Source organism: Homo sapiens, chromosome 10 (assembly GCF_000001405.40).
Source record: "Homo sapiens chromosome 10, GRCh38.p14 Primary Assembly".
Taxonomy (NCBI): domain Eukaryota; kingdom Metazoa; phylum Chordata; class Mammalia; order Primates; family Hominidae; genus Homo; species Homo sapiens.
In genome coordinates this window covers 89,408,474-89,428,502 of record NC_000010.11, presented here as the reverse complement: position 1 = coordinate 89,428,502, position 20,029 = coordinate 89,408,474, and the positions used below count along the sequence as shown (strand labels likewise).

General features: G+C 42.3%; 2 protein-coding genes across 9 annotated transcripts in view, besides 4 other annotated features; one reads left to right on the top strand and one right to left on the bottom strand.

Moving 5' to 3' along the window:
- Nucleotides 5,289–6,488: an enhancer, noted in NCBI's record as "BRD4-independent group 4 enhancer chr10:91181772-91182971 (GRCh37/hg19 assembly coordinates)". NCBI's record gives its function as "activates an origin of replication core promoter dependent on BRD2, P300/CBP, MED14 and CDK7 cofactors, and independent of BRD4, by STARR-seq in HCT116 cells {active_cell/tissue: HCT116}" and the evidence as "EXISTENCE:reporter gene assay evidence [ECO:0000049][PMID:35650434]".
- On the bottom strand, nucleotides 7,506–13,935 carry IFIT5 (interferon induced protein with tetratricopeptide repeats 5). Its single transcript, NM_012420.3, has 2 exons — nucleotides 13,700–13,935; nucleotides 7,506–11,298 (listed from the first exon to the last, which is right to left on the bottom strand). The coding sequence occupies exons 1-2, from the start codon at nucleotides 13,702–13,704 to the stop codon at nucleotides 9,855–9,857; spliced, it is 1,449 nt and encodes a 482-aa protein (NP_036552.1). The 5' UTR covers nucleotides 13,705–13,935; the 3' UTR covers nucleotides 7,506–9,854.
- Nucleotides 12,889–12,958: an enhancer, noted in NCBI's record as "active region_3752". NCBI's record gives its function as "activates an Ori minimal core promoter by ATAC-STARR-seq in GM12878 lymphoblastoid cells {active_cell/tissue: GM12878}" and the evidence as "EXISTENCE:reporter gene assay evidence [ECO:0000049][PMID:35858748]".
- Nucleotides 13,059–13,158: an enhancer, noted in NCBI's record as "active region_3751". NCBI's record gives its function as "activates an Ori minimal core promoter by ATAC-STARR-seq in GM12878 lymphoblastoid cells {active_cell/tissue: GM12878}" and the evidence as "EXISTENCE:reporter gene assay evidence [ECO:0000049][PMID:35858748]".
- Nucleotides 13,769–14,078: an enhancer, noted in NCBI's record as "active region_3750". NCBI's record gives its function as "activates an Ori minimal core promoter by ATAC-STARR-seq in GM12878 lymphoblastoid cells {active_cell/tissue: GM12878}" and the evidence as "EXISTENCE:reporter gene assay evidence [ECO:0000049][PMID:35858748]".
- The window catches only part of LIPA (lipase A, lysosomal acid type), a 201,108-nt gene continuing 194,902 nt past the window's right edge, over nucleotides 13,824–20,029 (top strand). For 4 of the 8 annotated variants that reach the window (NM_001440839.1, NM_001440819.1, NM_001440821.1 and 1 more), the window contains exons 1-2: nucleotides 13,824–13,960; nucleotides 15,581–15,712. In NM_001440839.1, coding sequence (NP_001427768.1) covers nucleotides 15,652–15,712 — 61 coding nt within the window. In that variant the 5' untranslated portion in view covers nucleotides 13,824–13,960; nucleotides 15,581–15,651. Of the gene's footprint in view, nucleotides 14,097–15,580; nucleotides 15,866–20,029 lie in introns of all 8 variants that reach the window. The other 4 variants (NM_001440823.1, NM_001440831.1, NM_001440822.1 and 1 more) reach the window with 4 other exon arrangements.

Sequence of the window (20,029 nt, the reverse complement as noted above, 5' to 3'; positions counted from 1 at the left end):
ATAGCTTATTTTTGCAACTGTGGGCAGAGCAAGGTGTGGGTATAGGTCAAGGTAGGGAAGAGTTCGGGAGTGGGAGAAAGGTTGGGGGGCAGCTTCTGTGTGGTTACCTGAGGTTCCGGCCCACGTGCAGGTGGATGAATCCAGATTTCTGACCCTAAGCTCAAACAGGGAAGAGCAAACAGCTCAAACAGCTTTCTAAAGCTCAAACAGGGAAGAGCAAAGCCTTTTTCAGAATCGCAGAACTGACAGGGCTGGTGTGAGCATTCAGTGCCCACACTGGACCTACGAAGTCTCACAGGGTGTAGTTCCTGACGTTAGGCTACATCCCCCATCTTCTACTACAATCTAGCGCCCAGTTTTTCTATCAGTTCCTTCAAGTACCAAGCCTCCCCTTTATACCCCTGACCCTGGGGCATTTTGCATATGTTGATCCCTGTGATCACTCTCTTCTCATATTTTGGGTCTCAGTTTAAATGTCACTGCCCTAGAGAGTCCATCTTTAACCACTGCCCTTATCTAAATTATACATCCCTCCCCCGCCACTACCACCCACATTCTTCATGCTCATAGCATTCTATTATTTTCCTTCAAAGAACATCTTTTAGTTATGATCATATATATTGATGTGTGTTTTTATTTTTAAATTTCATCTGCTCCACAAAACCACAGGCTTTCTGAGGATACGGATCATACTGACTCATTCACTATTTAGAGCAGTGCCTGACCCAGAGTAGGCATTCAATGAATACTTGGTCAATGAATAAATGAGTGTAAAGAACAAATAAATGAAAAAACTGCTAAGGAGAATTGTAACATTAGCGAGGGTGGGGCGGATTGAAGGGTTGGGGTGCAGGTTTGTTTGGGTGCAAATTGCTCTTGTACCCAGAACAGACAGGATACATTAGATGTTCCTAATTTGGTGTGTCAAAATAGGACACCTTGTTAGAAGTGTCACAAAAACAGTAGAAGCTCTGGAGCATTGACCATTATGGAGCAGGTTTTGGAAAGGGAATAAAAGTGGCAAAGTAAAGAGTTGATCAAAAGATATTAAATAACAAACTTTGGATTGAGGCCTGAATGTAAAAAATGATACTACTGTGTTCAACCCAGACAGGCTTAATTAAATAGCTGTTGTGCACAAATGAACGGAAACCCAAGGGAAGAGGAACTGTTCACACAAGGGAGCCCTGGAACGTTGGGAAAATGTGGATTGCACCTGCCCCAAACCTGAAAAGACAGGGTTTCAATTACAGGCACCACACAAACTGCTTTTACACAAAATATTTATGCCAGGGTTTTGCTAGGTGCAGAAGATGTTTCTGACTGAAATCTTTGTCCTGACCAGACCTATGGCTGCCCCTAACTCATAAAGCATTATTGAAAATTAGACAGTATGCTGGCAGACATTTTTAAGAGATGGTGAAAGGAGTTAATCAACCAACTATTTATCAAGCACCTCTTTGGAATCTGGAACCATGTTACATATGGTGGAGAATTAAAAATACACATAGGACCCCCTCCATGATCTCAAATTTACTACCTAATTGGTAAATTGAAACCAACTCAGGTTAGAACAACACCAAGAAGTTATTAAATGTTGACCTGAGGCTAAGGGCATGTGTAGTACTTTGAGGGTTAGGAGAGGAAGAATTCATTATGGGTTGAAGAAATTTGATTCTGGGGAATTTGAAGACAGGATTGAACAGATTGGAATCAGCCCTTACTTTTTTCAGGGCAAGAGGCTGGGAGTGAGGGAAAGAGATGTGAGGCAGCTGCTTTGTGTGGCTCCTTGAGGTTCCAGCAGGCATCTCAGGCCAGTGCAGAACCAAGCACACGTGGACATAAATGTTCCGATGACGGGTCCATAAAGGTGTCTGGGACTTTTGGGGATTGCAGTTGCCTTCTTTAAGTACAAAGCAGGGATTTTCAGGGCATGGGGTTATAATTCAATATTCATCTCTCAACTGTAAAGAGTGTCATTCTCTTCTTAAGGATCCAAAGTTTGGATCCTTAAGCACAGAAAAGAGTTTTAAAATTGACATATTATGCAGCACTGCCATCTGCTGGAATTAGCAAGAACACTTCCCAGGAGTAGGGGAATCTCCAATTGTTCAACTCCCCAAGGCCTACCTTAAAGGCACAAACATTAAAGTTTGTCATTGTTTCCTCCTCTTCCAACTCCCCCTTGCTCGTTACCCATCCCACATTTATCCTGTTCCTCTTGCAAGTATAAACACGGGGATAAAGATGCTGTGTTGCAGTTTTCAGCTTTTGGTTACCTATATCAGTTCTGTAACATAGAGTATCAAAGTTAATATGAATGATGATTTTGACTGGCTTGACTAGGGATAGCCATTGGTAAAACATAACGTAAAAAAAATTTGAAGTCCTCTGCCTTTCTCTGGAACCCAGATTGTCAGCCTTCCATTCTTGTTCCCACTGTGACCCCTACTAATGTGTTAATTTATTTGATGTGAGTTGATAAAGGAGTTAAAGTGTGAGACACAGAATCTCAAAGTTATACCAGAAGCCAAATGTTAGAAAATGTTGAAACCAAATGATACAGAAGAATGGATTCCATGTCAATTTGAAAACATAAAATATCGGATTATACTGTACAGCAAATATGACAAAGTGATTAAATTTACTTTAAATGTGTAGTGCATGTGAAATCGTGGGGATTCTATTTATTTATAACTGAAATTGCTTTCAAAGGAGAGTGGATCATGTTAAAATGAAAGTTCTTATGTAGAACTAAGAACTAAGCAACTCATAGTTGGGTTTGTGACTGAGTATGAGGATAAGAGTTAGAACTGAATTGCTCTGTTTAAGAAAAATGGAGGAACGGTTTTGAAGGGAGAAGAGACACAGGGAAACAGGCAAAGCTCAGAATCACAGAAAGAGGCAGGCATATCAATAAATGGTTGGGGATCTTTCCTTCTTTTCTTCTTTCTTTGCTCCCTCCATTCCTCTTTTTTGTTTCCTGTCTCCCCTCTCCCAATATCCCTCCCTCTCACTTCTCTCCCTTTTTCTTTCTGAAAAACAGAGATTACCTAATATTAACTTTAAAGTTGTAGATTCTTCTGTCTCCTAAGATCTTCTCAATAAAGGGTTTTTATATAGAAATGACCTGTAAGTGATTTTAGTTTTGGTGTTTTGGTTTTTATATTTGTTGTTGTTTGTTTGCTTTGGTGAGATTTGCTGGAGTTGATGTGGTATGGAAAGGAAAAGCATGTGAAGAGAGATGAAGTTACTCTTGAACAAAATTAATATTTAATAGAATTAGGGACTCGCAGCCACATTCCAAAGTCCATGGCCTGGAGGCTCAAGGCAAACTCAGGGGATGTTAAAGCGCAGGTGACCCCAGCCCTAGTTGTTACACGTGTTCCAGCGCCCTCCACCCCTCCCCATCCCCTCCCCGCCCCTTCCCTTTCCTTTTTAAATTGACAAATAAAAATCATGTATATTTATCATGTACAACATGATGTTTTAAAATATGTATACATTGTGGAATGGCCATATCAAACTATCTCCTTGCCTTCTTATTTTGCTCTCCACACTGGGTGAGGGTCTGATGCTGGTTGGTGTGTGCACAAGGGATATATCCTTCCTTCCAAGGACAAAGGACTGGGTACGTGTTCTGGCTTCTAATTGTTTACTGGTTCTTCAGTCTTCCAAAATATGTGGCTTCCTTTTTTTGAGGAATTTATTCCAAATCTTTGAATTCCAAAATCCAATTCTGGAAACAAACCCTCACTTAGATGGAGTCCGTCAGTTTCTTAGGTCATTCTCCCTGAGGTTTCAGAACAGCTTTTAATCCCAGCATCAAGAGGCAGCTAATGTACATAAATAGTTCCCTTTCCTAGTTCCTTCCAGGGAATTTCGGGGTTCTGTGTACAATAGTGTCTGGTGACCTATGATTGTAGAATGTGGGCTTGGTGTGATCCTCTAGAATCTCTCTCCTCTGGTCTGTAAAGATTTGGTCCTATCTTCCCATATCCTTCATTCCAAATTTTAAGACTATTTAGAAAGTATTATATAGTAGTTAAGTGCTAGATTCTAGAACCAGACACCCAGAGTTTGAATCCTTTTCCCACCTCTTATTAGGTATGCGACCTTGGGCTTGCTTAATGTGTCTAAATCCTAATTACTCATGTGCGAAAGGAAAGAATAAAAATGCCTATTTTAGGGGGGTTTGTAAGGATTTTACAAGATTACTACATGCCCTGCACTTAGAACAGCACCCGGCAGATATTGTGTACTATGTAAGAGTTAGCTATAACTATCATTGCATCACCGGAGTCAAGAACGCTAGTGTTCTATGTTAAGTGTTCAATCCAAGTGGCCTCAGTCTATGCTTGCCCTTCAGAGTTTGTTGTCTGTGAGGCACCTGTGTGCTCCCATTGAGGCATGGCTTTCCCAAAGCTTATTCATGTCACCTTCATTATTTCTTTAGTTACTCAGCTAGGTGCCATCATGAAAGGAGGTATTGAGAAATCCAGTTCATCACTTACAGAGGAACCCCTCAGTTCAGACAGTTTTGGGAATATATACATGGCATTTCTAGTACATTTCTAGTAATTAGATGCTGTTTTATTCCTCAAAGTGAAATACAAAATGTTGAATGAACAAATTCAACTTAGTAAATATGAAGTTTCCGAAGAAGGGGGTAGTTGTGTTTGGGGTGGGATCCAGTGTGTGTGGCTTGATCTTAGGAAAAGAGAAAGCTAAAGAAGAAGAAACCACATCCCAGTGAGGCAGGGAACTTTGGCTCAGAAGAGAAGTAGAGAGGAATGCGGAGGCTGGAGTCCTGGGAGAAAAGGGGATGTACAAGCAGAAAGAGAGGGGATGTATGAGCAGAAAGCTAAGTGATAAACTTGTTTTAAATATACACTTGCTATGTTGTTCTGAAGGGATAGAAAGAGGAAGAAAGTTAGTTTTGTGAGAAGGGGCTATCCCAATCTGTGATGGTACGTTTTATAATGTTATTTTTTGATCTGTTTAATATAGACTTTATCTATTGGTTTTCTGCTATGTTGTTAGGATTTAATTAACTGAATTTAAAGAACTCTTCTCATCCCACAACTCAATTTTTACTTAATTTGTTTTATAAGTTATACTAACATATTTAATTCTTACTCCATAAAACCTTAACTGTATCTTTTGAGTCTCTATTCTTCTGCTATGGTTTGAATGTTTTTGTCTCCTCCAAATTCATAGATTGGAAGCTTAATCTCCAATGCAACAGTATTGAGAGGTGAGGCCTAAGGAGAGATGTTCCTGAGGGCTCTGCCCACATGACTAGACTAATGGTCTTATGAAAAGGGCTTGCAGGAGTGAGTTCTTGCTCTCTTCTGCTCTTCTGCCATGTGAGGAACAGAGTTCCTCCCTTCCAGAGGGTGCAGCATTCAAGGTGACATCTTGGAAGCAGAGACCAGGCCCTCACCAGACACCAAACCTGCCAGCTCCTTGATCTTGAACTTCCAGTCTCCAGAACTGTGAGAAATAAATTTCTGCTTGTTAAAATTACTCAGTCTTAGGTATTCTATTATAGCGGCACACCAGAAACTAAGACAATTTCCCTTACCTCTCTTCCCCATTCTCTTTTCCAAATCAAATATTATAACATTGGAAAGATTTATTTCTTTATTTATTAGACAGAGTCTCACTCTTGTCGCCCAGGTTGGAGGAGTGCAATGATGTGATCTTGGCTCACTGCAACCTCTGCCTCTTGGGTTCAAGTGATTCATGTGCCTCAGCCTCCCAAGTAGCTGGGATTACAGGTAGGTGCCACCATGCCTACCTAAGTTTTGTAATTTTAGTAGAGATGGGGTTTTGCCATGTCGGCCAGACTGGTCTTGAACTCCTGCCTCAAGCAACCTGTCCGCCTTAGCCTCACAAAGTGCTGGGATTACAGGCATGCGTCACCACATCCAGCCATGTTTTGTTCTTTAATCATAATTACTCATCCAGAAAGTTGAAGAACAATAAATGACATTTATATTATGTAAACATTATTCACCTACTGCCAATTAGAGTCCTCTAATTAAATTTCTTTCACTAGATGTGTCAGTTTGATCCAAGATGGGATGTTGAACATGCAAGAAATGTAATGGAAACACCTCTGAGAAAAAACGGGAAGAGAGCAGACAGAGGCTGGGAGAGCCATCCAACTGTGATGCAGGTCTGACCCCATATGTAGGAGAGACAGAAGGAATAAAAGTTGGGTAAAAACATCTTAGATTACAGTATTGTTTTAAGGAATATTTGGCAAGGCTGGTGGGGAGTCCTTGAGTTTAAATTGCTCATCAGAGGAGTACTGCATCTCTCAGGAGAGGACATGACTTAGTAACCTTGCCACACTGGGAAGCATGGCCTCAGTGTAAATGTAGTGATAGATTTCAATGTGTAGAGATGGGACCTTCAGACAATTATAATCCTTGTAGCTAGAGATCTGAGAGGTGCTTCTCATTGCTACCACATTAGGGTTACAATGTTATTACACTTGAACTACTCAAAGGAGACTGTTCTAATTGTCAAGGCCAAATGGATTTTCATTTCTTGTAATTCACCAATTATATAAAAACATGCCACATTGTTTTATAGGTCTGTCATGTTCCTTAATCTCAGTAATGAACATATTCCATAAAGGGACTATCCTTGGGCCTGCCTGTGTTGTAGGTGATGTCACATAAGCATAGTCACATCATGGCCAGATAAACTCTGTCAATTGAGTTTGACAGACTCCAACAAATGGAGTTTGTTGCCTCCAACAAATGATTATCGGTAGAAACTGTAAAATGGGCATGAGTGCTACTGAACCAGCAGCCAGGAGAAAGAAATTATGGTCCACAAATTAGTTGTGAAACCTTAAGTCATATCACCAGTCCTGGTCTCAATCTTCATATCAATAAAGTTGGTTGGAGTAGGGATTTTCTCAAGGTCCTCCTGATTTTAAAGTTCTGTGTTGTCTACAAGGTTGTTCCTGAACTGAAGTAATCGGCATCGTTGACTCAATCTAGAAAGGAATAGTAACAGCTTATATTGCTTTTGAAACTGGCTGATAGCATGTGATCAACAGGTAAGACTATTTCTGCACCCAGAGAGGAAGCAAATATCTTTAAGAGCTCCATGACTGGGAAACCAGTTTTTCTGCCAGCTGATTTATCATTTGTTGAAAGGGCTTTTCTCAGCTTTTGTGAGTCAGGGAGCGTACCTTTAGTGCTGAATGAAGTAGTTTCCAAGAGCACCTTCAAGATTTGGAGAGGCAGCACTTCTTTTCCGGAAGGGTCAAATTACCCTGAAGAGCAATCACAGCCACTTTTCTGGGCATATTTATGAGTTTGTCTAATAGGCAACAAAACAACTTGGGCCTGGCATCATAGGATTCTTATCAGGCTTGACAGGATGAGTTCATCTAACTAAGTAGGATTTGGACCCATTTCAGAGACTTTGAGTCAGTTGATAAGGGCAGTTTTCAGAGGTAGGTGCAGGACAATATACAATTCAACTCAGGCAGCTTTTATTAGAGTATTATATACCAAGTATATGATGAGGAGTCCAAATGCAAACTGGATATTCAAGGAACTTAGGATTTCCTGGGTTAAGCCTATTAGCCTAATTAATTTTATTCCATTTATACTTACTTTTCACATGTCCATCAGTAGCTCCCAAACTTTGCTGCACAAGTTCCAACTGGGAAATCTAAAAATCATGATGCCTGGACTGCACCCCATGCCAATTAAGTCATTCTCTATGGGGCGGGACCCAGACATCCATGTTTTGTTTTAACTTTTTAGGTGATTCCAATACGTAGCCAAGTTTGAGGAACAATGCTGTAGACCTTACTACTCAAAATGTAATTAGAACAGCCACAGCATCCTCACCTAGGAGGAGCTTGTTTAAAGTGCAGAAATCTCAGGCCCCTTCTGTGTATGAACACAGCCCTGATTTATAAAAACAAGTTAACTGATGAAGCAAATAATCTTTTCTATGAACTGATGAAGCAAATAATCTTTTCTATGATTAACTGTCTGAGTAACCGCTTAATGTGAGTTCTTTTAATTATGTGGCAAGTGATAGAAGTTATGTACTTTCAGGTGGGAGAAATGGCCTGCTTTGCTAGAATATCCTAAAATATCTGAAAGGGACAAATGTGTCTACTGATAGGTCAGGACTTCAGTGCTGACTTTCTGAAATTCTTGAGTAAAGATCATTCCCTTCCTTGTTCTTCCTTAATAGATCAAACAAAATAATAATAATAATAAAAACAGAATTAAGTAAAACAAAAGATTTTTAAAAATTAATACGTGAGATACACTGCAGTATATATGTATGTCTGATTACGCATAGAAAAAAGATCTGGAAGTTTACATATCAAATTATAAGTTATAAGTTTACCTTGAGGGTGTGGAACTGTGGTAGGGTGAGAGGACTGCTCTCATTTTTAAATTCACATACTTTTGTAATTTTTTTTTGAAATTTACAGTGAGAATTCATTATTTTTATAATAATCAAACCATAATAGAAATTTTAAAGATGATAAAAAACAAAAAGTAAAACACACACACATACATAATAATTTTAAGAGTTACATTGGAGGAATGGAGAATTAAATCACATGGTACTTTTCCACTAATACTGTGATGGTACATAATTGTGTAGTCGGTAATCAAAGAAACTACATTAGAGAAGCCACATTAAGTAACATCCGAATTAAAAAGTCCCCTGGGATAAGAGCCCTCAAGCAGCGACCCCTCAAGGTGGATATTAAAACTGAAAGCAGTGCTTAACTCTTCCTGGAGTATCTACATGAAAAAAACAACATTCTGAAAATTTCACATTAAAAAAAAAGCTTCATAGAAGTCACTTTGAAATGCTAAAATAGCCAAAGGCCAGAAATTGAGGGTATAAAAACTCCATTCAGAACAGATTCAAAACTAGTACACTGAAACCTTGGTAATCTATGGGTGTAGGTTAGGGACATCTTCTTTTTCCATTTGTTTATCATTTCTCCCAATTTCCCAATGGCTGCTTTATATCTCAATAATTTTAACCTAAAAATATTGTAATTTTAGTTGGAAGGAATAAAATTAATTGCATCTAGATTCATTGCAGATTTGTTTTAGTTAAAAAAAAAAAGAGAACAATTTGAGACTCACTATTTTCCATTATTCATTTTTTTCCACATAATTATTTCTAGCTACTTAATAAACATTTGGGGATTGAATCCCTGAAGTTACATATTTAAAATTTGAGGAAATCCTTTTTCTCCTCTTCTAGTTTTTTCTTTATTGAAGTCACTAGAGATGACAAACTTTTTTATTATAAACTTTTTTCCAACAAAAAAGATATTTTAGGTGACTATTAGATTGATAGCTAAATATCCTCATCAAAGTCAAAACATCTGTAACTAAAAAGTGCTGTCTTTTGCAAGCTACACAATTAAGAGCTTAACTATCAATAATGTAATTTTGTACTCCTGGAAGAGTATTCCTGATCTAGGTATCAAAGGTTTACGTAGGAATATATTTACTATATAATATGAGAAATTCAAAGAGCAGAGATAAAAAGCACAGATCTAATGGCCATACCATTTTTAGAAGTTACAATAGCTAGAATATTGCTATTTCTCAATGGATTATAGTATTTTAATTAAAAAGAAAAAAAGAAAGAAAACCGCACAAGATTCATCATAATGCATATAAAGTATTTAGCACAATGCTTGGTACACAATAACTATTCAATAAATATTAGCTCTATAATAAACAAGGGATTAAAATAATAAAAAAAAAACAAACAGGAGAACCCAAAATGAAGGGAAAAACTTAGAGCTAATTTCCTAGAGTATGTATTTAAATGGAAAGTCGGAGCTCACAGAGAGCAGTCAGGAATTCTGCATTTTCTGGATCTATCTTTTGTGCCTTCTCATAGTACTCAGCAGCTTGCCTCTTTTCTCCTTCCAGCTTGTAAACAAACCCTAGGGCACTTAAACTCTGCACATCTAAAGCATTGTGACAAAGTCTCTTGGTAGACAATTTCTTCAGAGCACTTGTCAGTTTGGTGCGAAGGGGTGATCTGTCTTTGACCTTTAAGGCTTCTAAATAATGATGGATGGCAGTATTTTCTGATTTACGGTGAAATTCCTGAAAGCGGCCATAGTGGTAATGGATCTGATGTTTGTGATCATCGGTTATGTTCTCCAGACGAAGAGCTTTCCGGAAAATGTCCTCAGCATTGCTATACTGGCCTCCTTCAGCGTACATGTTGGCCAGGTCTGTGTAGGCAAATGCAAACATAGAGTCTCGTTCCATGGCTGCTTTGAAATGAAATATAGCAGATGAAATCAGCTCATCAACCTTTAGTTTATCCTTTCCTTTAGGTCTGTTGTGTGTGGCCTTCTTGATTTGGATCATTTGTGCCCTGTAGCAAAGTCCCATCTGGTGATGCAGGAAAGAAGAAGTTGGTGTCACCTCCAAGGCCTTTTTTAAAAGTTCGAGAGCTTTGTTCCAGGAATTTTTTCTCCTATAGAACTTGGCTGCATAACGAAGGACGTAAGGCTGGGATGATATTTGGTCCAGGATTTCTTCAATATACTTTTCCCCTTCAGCTTCTGCATGTACATCTTGAAGCTTCAGTGCCAGAAAAACCTTAATATAGCTGTTATCTGGGTTCAGGGTAACAGCCTTTCTCAAAGGCCCCAGAGAAAAGCTCTTTACAGACCCTTCTCTATCAGAATCATCCAGCCGATACACTGTGATAGCATAGCCGATGTTAAATTCTGGATTGTCAGGCTCCACTTCCAGAGCCTTCTCAAAAGCCGCTTTAGCCTTTTGATAATACTTTCCTCCAAATTTCAAGAGTGCCCAGCCTTTCTCACAGTCAGTCTCAGGACACTCCAACTTGTAGTTAGAAGGACTGGACAATTTCTTACAGACATTCCCTATCTTACCTGTATACTTCTGAGCTTCTTCAAGCTGGTCCATGTGATAATACACCCAGGCATAGTTTCCCCAAGTGACCAGGCTTCGTACTTCTTCTTTGTCTGAGTGTTCTTGCTGGATTATTTCTTCTGCTTGTTCCAAGCACTCAAGGGCGTCTTTATTTTGGCCTTTTAGGTGTTTCACATAGGCCAATAGGTTATAAAGAGCAAGTCTAGATTTTGTGGTAAGAAATTCAAGCTGTTGCCCAATTGTATCTTCTACCTCAAACAGATCAATGTCTTCCTTAAGTAAATTCCATGTAAAATGACATTCTAACTCCAACAGAATGGCCTTCAAGGTGTCCTTACGAATTTCACTGTCAAAGATAAAATACTTTTTAATTTTTGAAGAAATACAAGAAATAATTTTCTAAACCTTAAATATTGTTCTTTGCATAACAACTAATTTTATCCCTATTTGATCTTACAGTTAAAACATAAGTTTCCCATAACTTTATACTAGAGTTTCTTCTATATACAGTTATGTCCTAGAAATATTTCATTTAAATTCTCACTATTTATTGCAAAAACAGTTCTGGAGAGATGACAGAGCTTTCTGTATTACATGTATCTATTTCCTTTTGGCAATCACTAAACCATTGAAAATTAGGAATGAATATATACATATTCAATAATTAATATGAAAATTCCATTTTTGTATTATGAGTACTGATCCTGACTAGGAAACCTGGTAAAATTGCTCCTTGGTAATTGTTCCTTTCTCTAGTGTAATTGTACCAAAAATATGGGCAAGACATGCCATGTCCTTACAGCCTGCTTAAATCCACAACAACATGGCTTTACCAGCCCCCTGCCTAAAACAAACACCTGTTTTGAAGGTCTCTACCAGCCCAGCCCAAGGAGGATGAGGAGGGCTGCTCAGGTATTATGGATTTGGTTGTAAGATCTCAAAGGGACATTCAATCAGGTACTGACGTGGTTTGTCCAGGCTCTGGAATTTATGCACAACTGGACACCATGAGAATTTTTATTGTTTAAACTTTGTCTACTTAATTTTGTAACTTTGTCTTTGGGAAGCTAATAAGAGAGAAGCTATTGCATCAGAAGAGGTAACACGTATCTTTCGGTAATTCTGTTCTTCTGCTAGGAAGAAGCAGACTTTCATTGTCCTTGGGAGACAGTCCCCAATGGGGCTGAGCCCTTTTCCTCCCCATCCTGCATATATACGGTGCACGCCACCGTCTTTTTCTGTTTTTTGTTGTTGTTGTTGTTTTGTTGTTGTTGTTGTTGTCAAGCCCCTTCCTGATAGCACTCTCCTTTCTTACAAATGTTAGATGTGGCCAGGCGTTGTGGCTCACGCCTGTAATCCCAGCACTTTGGGAGGCTGAGGCGGGTGGACCACGAGGTCAGGAATTCGAGACCAGCCCGGTCAACATGGTGAAACCCGCGTCTCTACTAAAGATACAAAAAATTAGCCAGGCGTGGTGGCACACGCCTGTAATCCCAGCTACACGGGAAGCTGAGGCAGGGGAATGGCTTGAACCCGGGAGGCGGAGGTTGCAGTGAGCCGAGATGGAGCCATTACACTACAGCCTGGGTGACAGGGCGAGACTCCGTCTCAAAAATAAAGTTAGATGTGTGGGTGGCACTTAAACTTTTTTTTTAAACTTATAATGGGAATAATTAACATTTATTGTGCAAGTATTATGTGCTAAGCAGTCAACTGATAGGATTTATTACTGTCCTTTTCCACAGTCCCAAGAGATGGACACCATTAATTTTTACAAATAAGGAACAGACTCACAGAGTTTGAGAAACTTTGGGATCACTCAACTAGTAGGAGTTCAGTCCGGATTTAGAACAAGGGACTATCTGCTTTTAGAGCCCAAGACCTTAACATCTCATTCCTCAACTCATTAAATGCGGAAGGTTCACTAACCACGTGCAGGGCGGGGTGCTAGCCCCTGGGGATACAAAATGATCAAGAAAAGGACGCCATCATACTAAATCAGTAAAGGAAACAGATAAAGAAATCCTCATAAAACAGCGGATTGGGTGGGACGATAACAATCTGTGCTTGGTACAGAGGTAGCTCCTGGGAAGGGAAGAACTCAGACCCAGAAATCAGAAACGCAAACTGGCAGTGGCAGGCGAACCTGACGCCTGCAGGGCTGCGGCGAAACCGCGTATGCCACACCGAGGGAATGGCAGCTGGAAAGAGAGGCACGCGACAGGCCTAAGGAGACCCGTGGCACGTAGCAGCTGCCCCCGGAACAGCGCCTGGGGGCTCTGCAGGCGCTGACCAGTTTCCCGGAGGCGGCGGCCGCGGACCCAGCACGGTCACCGTCGCCGCTGCCGAGAAGAGCCGTCGGGTCGCGATGGGTGGACAGGCCTTCCGGGGGAGCGTCGCCCGGCACATACCCTGACAGTCCCGACCGCAGACGCCAGGGATGGGACAGGCTCCCGGGGAGCATCTCCTGTTCCTCCTCCCTGACCGGCCTTCTTAGGCGCTGGGGAGGGGCCGGACTCCCGAGAAGCGTCCACTCGGCCACCCTCCCCGGCAGGCCCGACTTCAGACGCCGCGCGCCGGGACAGAGCGCCCGGGGAGGGTCCCCAACGCAGATGCCCGGTTGCTGGGCGCGAGGGGCTCGGCCCCTGAAAAGGCCGCAGAACTGCGCTGGAAATGAATAAAAGCAGCCCGGTTTGAAACCAAGGCCGACGCAGGGCTTGGGAGGAGAGGCAAAGGAAAACCCTTACCTCATGATGGCAGCGCTCTGCAGGCCGTCCGGGCGGCGCAGTCCCTCGGATCGCTCTCTCCTCAGCACCGGGGACCGCGGGAAGCCGCGCGGTGGGCGTGCGCGTGCGCGTGCGCGCGCCAGGCCTCTGCAGCCCCTGGACTCGGCCGCGCGGCGTGTCTTTGTTAAAGGAGAGACCCCAGCCCCAGCAAGAACAGGAAACTGGAGATTGAATCAGATGCCGAGCGCTCAGAAACTGAAACTTAAGAAATCGAAACTAAACGTAAGCTTCAGAAACCGAAACTTAATAGAAGAGCTCAAGAGCCGCGGCCAGACGTTTGCGGAGTCCAGGGTCTTTCGGAGTTGAATTTGCAGCTGGGCTCCTTCACTTTGGTCTCGGCTTTTATCTGCCTCCCTGAGTACGCTGAGTTCGCATGCTGCCCGTGTAACTGTTTGTTTGTTTGTTTGTTTGTTTGAGATAGCGTCTCACTGTGTCACCCAGTCGTGATCTCAAGGGATGCGCCCGCCTCTGCCTCCCAAGGTGCTGGGATTACAGGCGGAAACTTAAGTCCCTGCTTCCACTCCAGTCTTTTGATTCAACAAGCAACACTGCAATGCTATACATCTATGCTGTTATTTCTGTTGGGTGTAAACTGAGAAATTTGGAGCTAAAATCTATATACATTTTAAGTTTTGACGGATATTGCCAAATAGCTTTAAAAATCCACTCTTACCCACAATTGTAGGAGACTGCTTCTCTTCCATACCTTCGCCAATGGTGCTTTGTAATAAGGACCCAATAAAGACAAGAGTGGTATTGGGGATCTAGGCAGAAAATGTCAAACACCCATACCTTAAACATTTTGTCCCCTTTGAATTCATTCAGCAAATATTGACAAACAACTGTAAGAGCCAGACTTTGTTCAAAGTACTGTCAATATAACAATAAAGAAAACAGACACGGGCCTTACCCTTATTGAGTTAATGTCTGTATTCAAAACCTCAATATCCTGTCCATAATTCATCTTTTGCATTGATTTTGGTTTTTTTTTTTTTTTTGAGACAGGGTCTCACTCTGTCACTCAGGTTGGAGTGCAGTGGTGAGATGACAGCTCACTGCAGCCTCAACCTTCATGGCTCAAGCGATCCTCCCACCTCAGCCTCCTGAGTGGCTGGGACTATATGCGTGCACCACTATGTCGGGCTAATTAATTTATTTTTTGTAGAGGCGGGGTTTTGCCATGTTGCCCAGGCTGGTCTCCAACACCTGGGCACAAATATTTTTCTAAACCTTAAATATTGTTCCGCCCATCGTGGCCTCCCAAAATGCTGGGATTACAGGCATGAGCCACTATGCTTGGCCTGATTTTGAATTTTTAAAAACATATTGCATTGAAATATTGTCTACCTTGATCACTGAGCTTCTGGCACCCCACCCCTCAAAACTTAGTGCCTGAAGCGAGTGCCTCATTTAAAGCAATCACTTCTAACAGTTGTACTGTCTTATACAGAAACTGCTGGTCACCTGTGGCTATTAAGAACCTGATTTTTAATTTAATATAAATTTAAAAACTGATAAGTTAATAGAAAACTTACATTTGGAATAACTTAGGTATACGAATCTGCTTTTTATAAGTTGCAAATTTTATGAACTCTAAATACAGAGCAAGTATTTCCAGTGATTATCCTCAGCAAACTAATGCAGGAACAGAAACCAAACACTGCATGTTCTCACTTGTAAGTGGGAGCTAAATGATGAGAACACACGGACACAGTGGGGAACAACACACACTGGGGCTTGTTGGAGTTGGGGGTGGTGGGAGGGAGAGCATCAAGAAGTATAGCTAAGTGATGCTGAGCTTAATACGTAGGTGATGGTGTGTCCGGAATTGGTTCCTTCCAGTAGGTTTTTGGTCTTGGTGACTTCAAGAATGAAGCTGCGGACTCTCGCTGTGAGTGCTACAGTTGTTAAAGATGGCGTGTCTGGAGTTTGTTCCTTTCGATGTTCAGATGTGTCTGGAGTTTCTTCCTTCTGGTGAGTTCGTGGTCTTGCTGACTTCAGGAGTGCAGCTGCAGACCTTCACAGTGAGTGTTACAGATCTTAAAGGTGGCGCGTCCGGAGTTGTTCGTTCCTCCCGGTGGGTTCGTGGTTTCACTGACTTCAGGAGTAAAGCCGTAGACCTTTGTGGTGAGTGTTACAGCTCATAAAGGCAGTGTGGACCCAAAGAGTGAGCAGCAGCAAGATTCGTTGCGAAGAGCGAAAGAACAAAACTTCCACGACGTGGAAGCAGACCCGAGCAGGTTGCCGCTGCTGGCTGGGGTGGCCTGCTTTTATTCCCTTATTTGGCTCCACCCATATCCTGCTGATTGGTCCATTTTACAGAGAGCTGATTGGTCCACTTTACAAAGTGCTGATTGGTCCATTTTACAGAGTGCTGATTGGTCCATTTTACAGAGTGCTGATTGGTCCATTTTGACAGAGTGCTGATTGGTGCGTTTACAAACTTTTAGCTACACACAGAGTGCTGATTGGTGCGTTTACAATCCTTTAGCTAGACAGAAAAGTTCTCTGAGTCCCCACCTGACCCAGAAGCCCAGCCAGCTTCACCTCTCAATCCCCCCTCTAAACAGGACACCCCAATTGCTGATGGGAATTTGGCTGATGACTGCTCTAGCTACTTTCTGCTGGATAGGGGCGAAGAAGGGGCCCTGTAGGTGTAGTGTCCTCCAGAGGGGAACTCTTTAGGCCAGTGGAAGGGCCAGCAGGTCAGTCCAGGGGTCCTCGGTAGAAGTTGTTAGTTGAACTCATTTGGGGTTCCATTTGTAAGACCATCTGTAGCTTGAGGGCCTCAATTCTAGAGGAAACAAATTTGACAAGAAGGTTAAAAACACAGGGCCCAAAGACAAGTAACAGCAAGATGGCTGCCACAGGACCTAGAAAGGGGAGAAGCCATGTTGCCCAACTCCAGAGGTTGGTATAAGAGTTTGAAAGGTGTTGTCTGATTTCAGAAGCCTTTTCCTGTAAACACCGGGTGGCATCTCGTGCTATCCCTGACTGGTTAGTGTAAAAACAACACTCTTCCCCTAAGAAGCTGCACAGTCCTCCTTTCTCAGCAGTGAGGAGGTCTAGGCCTTGGCGATTTTGGAGAGTCGCTGCTGCCAAAGAGTCTGTTTGGGATTGTAGAGTAAGGATAGATTTCATTATTTCATGCAAACTGTCTGAGAAATCCTTTGAGAGTGTATGGTAGTAGGATAATGCATGTTACACTGTTAACTTTTAGCAAACTTTACGTTAGTTGAAAACCTTGTAAGTTTGGGATTTCAATTATTCTTTGCTATTAGTAAGACCTCGTTCAGTCCATATTAACTTAGAATTGGTATAGATGGCTCCTTCCTGATTCTGTAAGTATTTTAAGGTTTGGCTGAGTGCAAACAGCTGACACATTTGAGCAGACCAATTATTAGGCAATTTTCCTAACACTGCTTCTACAAGAGTTTCCTTATTATTTACTGAATACCCATTGTGTTTTTTTTTTCCTTAATTGCCCAGGAGGAACCATCTATCCGTCCTGTCCTGAAGGGAGTTCCTCCTAGATCTGGTCAGACCTTTGTATGGGAATTAATTAAGATTTAGATCCCCTGTTAGGAAACCTGCTGGGTAAGGATTTTTGATAGGAAGGCTACTGGTTGTCAGTGGCCTCAGTGCTTTCAGGCTACGCCCTTGTTTACACTGACAGCAAGGTGGTATTGGAGTGTTATAGGGTTTCTGAGAAGACCTTCAGTTATCAATTATAGGTTTTAAATTTACCCTGGCTTTTAAAGGAATAGGGTACACTGTTTTTTCTTTACTACTTCTATCTCTCTCTTTGACTTCTTCGTCTCTCTCTTCCTCTCTCTGTCTCTCTCTCTCTGACTTTCTGTCTCTTTCTTGCTTTCCTTTCTGCTGGTGTTTCCCTGCCTCTGCCAGTGGCTTATGCTGCTGTTCTTCCCTCTCCTTCACCTTTTGATGGCTTCAGCAGTGTAAGACTGCCACCTCCTTGGGTTTTTGCACCGCGTGCAATAACTCCGTGGTTTCCCTGTGTTATTTAATGGGGGTTCCCCCAGAGGTTAGGAACTCCCTTTCTTTCCATATTGCAGCATGGGCATGTAGGATTAGATAAGCATGGTTGCTCTCTGTATACACATTTATTGCTTTTTCCTTTCCCAGTTCTAAGGCTCGGGTAAGTGCCACTAGTTCTCCTAACTGGGTGCTGGTCCCTGGGGGAAGAGGCTTACTTTCAAGTATGGTTACATCGCTAAATATGGCATAATCTGTCCTTTGTATCCCATTCTCCATAAATGAACTTCCATCGGTATATAGGTTAAGGTCAGGATTAGCTAAGGGGACTTCTAAGGGATCATCTCGGGCAGCATAAGTCTGGACTAATTTGTTGGCAGTCATGCTCAATTGGTTCCCCAACCTCTGGGAGAAAAGTGGCAGGGTTGAGGGCCACGCATATAGGTATTTGAAGCACTGGTCCCTCAAGGAGTAGCACCTGGTATCTAAGTAGGCAGTTGTCTGATAGCCATAAACTTCCTTTGGCACCTAGTATGCCATTTACATCATGAGTATCCAGACAGTGAGACCCTTTCCTTATATTATTTTGATAGCCTCTGACACTAAGATGGCCACTGCCACAACTACCCTTAAACAGTGAGGCCAGCCTTTTGCTACTATATCAGTTTCCTTACTTAGGTATGCCACTGGTCATGGGGTTGTCCCACGAGTCTGAGTAAGGACCCCAGGAGCTATTTCTGCTTTCTCTGTGATGTTTAAAGAAAAGTTTCATCCTTTGGGAAGGCTTAAGGCTAGAGCTTGAGTTTGTTTCTTCCAATGCCCAGACTTCAGGGTTGATTCCCCTCTCAAGTAGGGGACAACAAATGGGTAACTTATTCCTCATATTCGTTTAGATAATAGCTCCAGCTTTGGCTAATATATCCCTCCCTAATAAGGGTGTGGGACTTTCAGGCATAACAAGAAAGACATGTGAAAAGAGCAAAGTCTCCCAATTACATCTGAGGAGGTGGGAGAAACACCTGGTTACAGGCTGTCCCAGGATTCCTTGGATGGTAATGGAACTTGAGGACAGCTGTCCAGGACAGGAGATTAACACTGAGAAAGCTGCACCAGTGTCCAGGAGGAAGTCAATTTCCTGCCCCTCAATGGTTATACATACCTGGGGCTCAGTGAGAGTGATGACATGAGCTGGTGCTTGCCCCAGGCACCCTCAGTCCTGTTGTTGGATCATCTGGTTGGGGGCTTCTGTCCCAGAGAACCTTTGTCCTCTGGGGCAGTGTGCCTTCCAGTGATTGCTTTGGCATAGTGGACATGGGTGAGGGGGCAGCTTGTTTGGACAGTCTTTTTTAAAGCGTCCTTGTAAACCACACTGATAACAAGCCCTACCGGGTGATTGGCATGCTCCATTTTCTGTCCTCTCTGAACCACCAAGGTTTGTTTGTCTGAGGGCCACGACTAAGGCTGCGGTCTTTCTCTGATCTCGCTTTTCCTTTTCGGCCTGTTCCTCTTGGTCCCTATTATAGAACACCGAGGTTGCCAGGTTTAATAATGCCTCCAAATTTTGTTCAGGGCCCAGGGCTTGCTTTTGGAGCTTTCTCCTGATATCTGTGGCTGATTGGGTAATAAACTTATATTTTAGAATCAATTGACCCTCTAGTGATTCAGATGACAGGGGAGCATATTTTCTTAAGGCCTCCCGTAGCCGCTCAAGGACGGCAGAAGGATTTTCTTCCTTTCCCTTAGTTATGGTGGACATCACTGAATAATTCGTGGGCTTTTTCCTAATTCTCCTTAGTCCTTCTAGAACACAGGTCAACAGATGTTTACGACTCCAGTCCCCATGATCTGAGTTGAGGTCCCAGTGGGGATCCATAATGGGGATGGCTTGCTGACCAGTAAGGAATTTGTCCCTTTCTTGGGCTGTCATTCTATCATTTATCTGACTAAGATACCAGGTATCTCCAAACTCTCAGGCTGCAGCTAAAGCCACATTCTTTTCATTAAAGGCCAGGGTTTGATCTACCACTAGCATGACATCTCTCTAAGTGAGATGGAAGGTTTCCCCTAGGCCCTGTAGGACATCTGTGTACCTATCAGGATCATCTGAAAACTTCTCCAGGTCTGCCTTGATCTGCTTTAAATCAGAGAGGGAGCAGGGGACATGTACCCAGGTTGGGCCAAATTCCCCTCCCCCTACAGCTTGAAGGGTACATAACCAATAGCCCTGGGGTTTTTGTGGTCCTTTGGAGATTTCTTTGCTTATTTCCTTCTGGGCAGGGAAGATTAGAGGAGGCT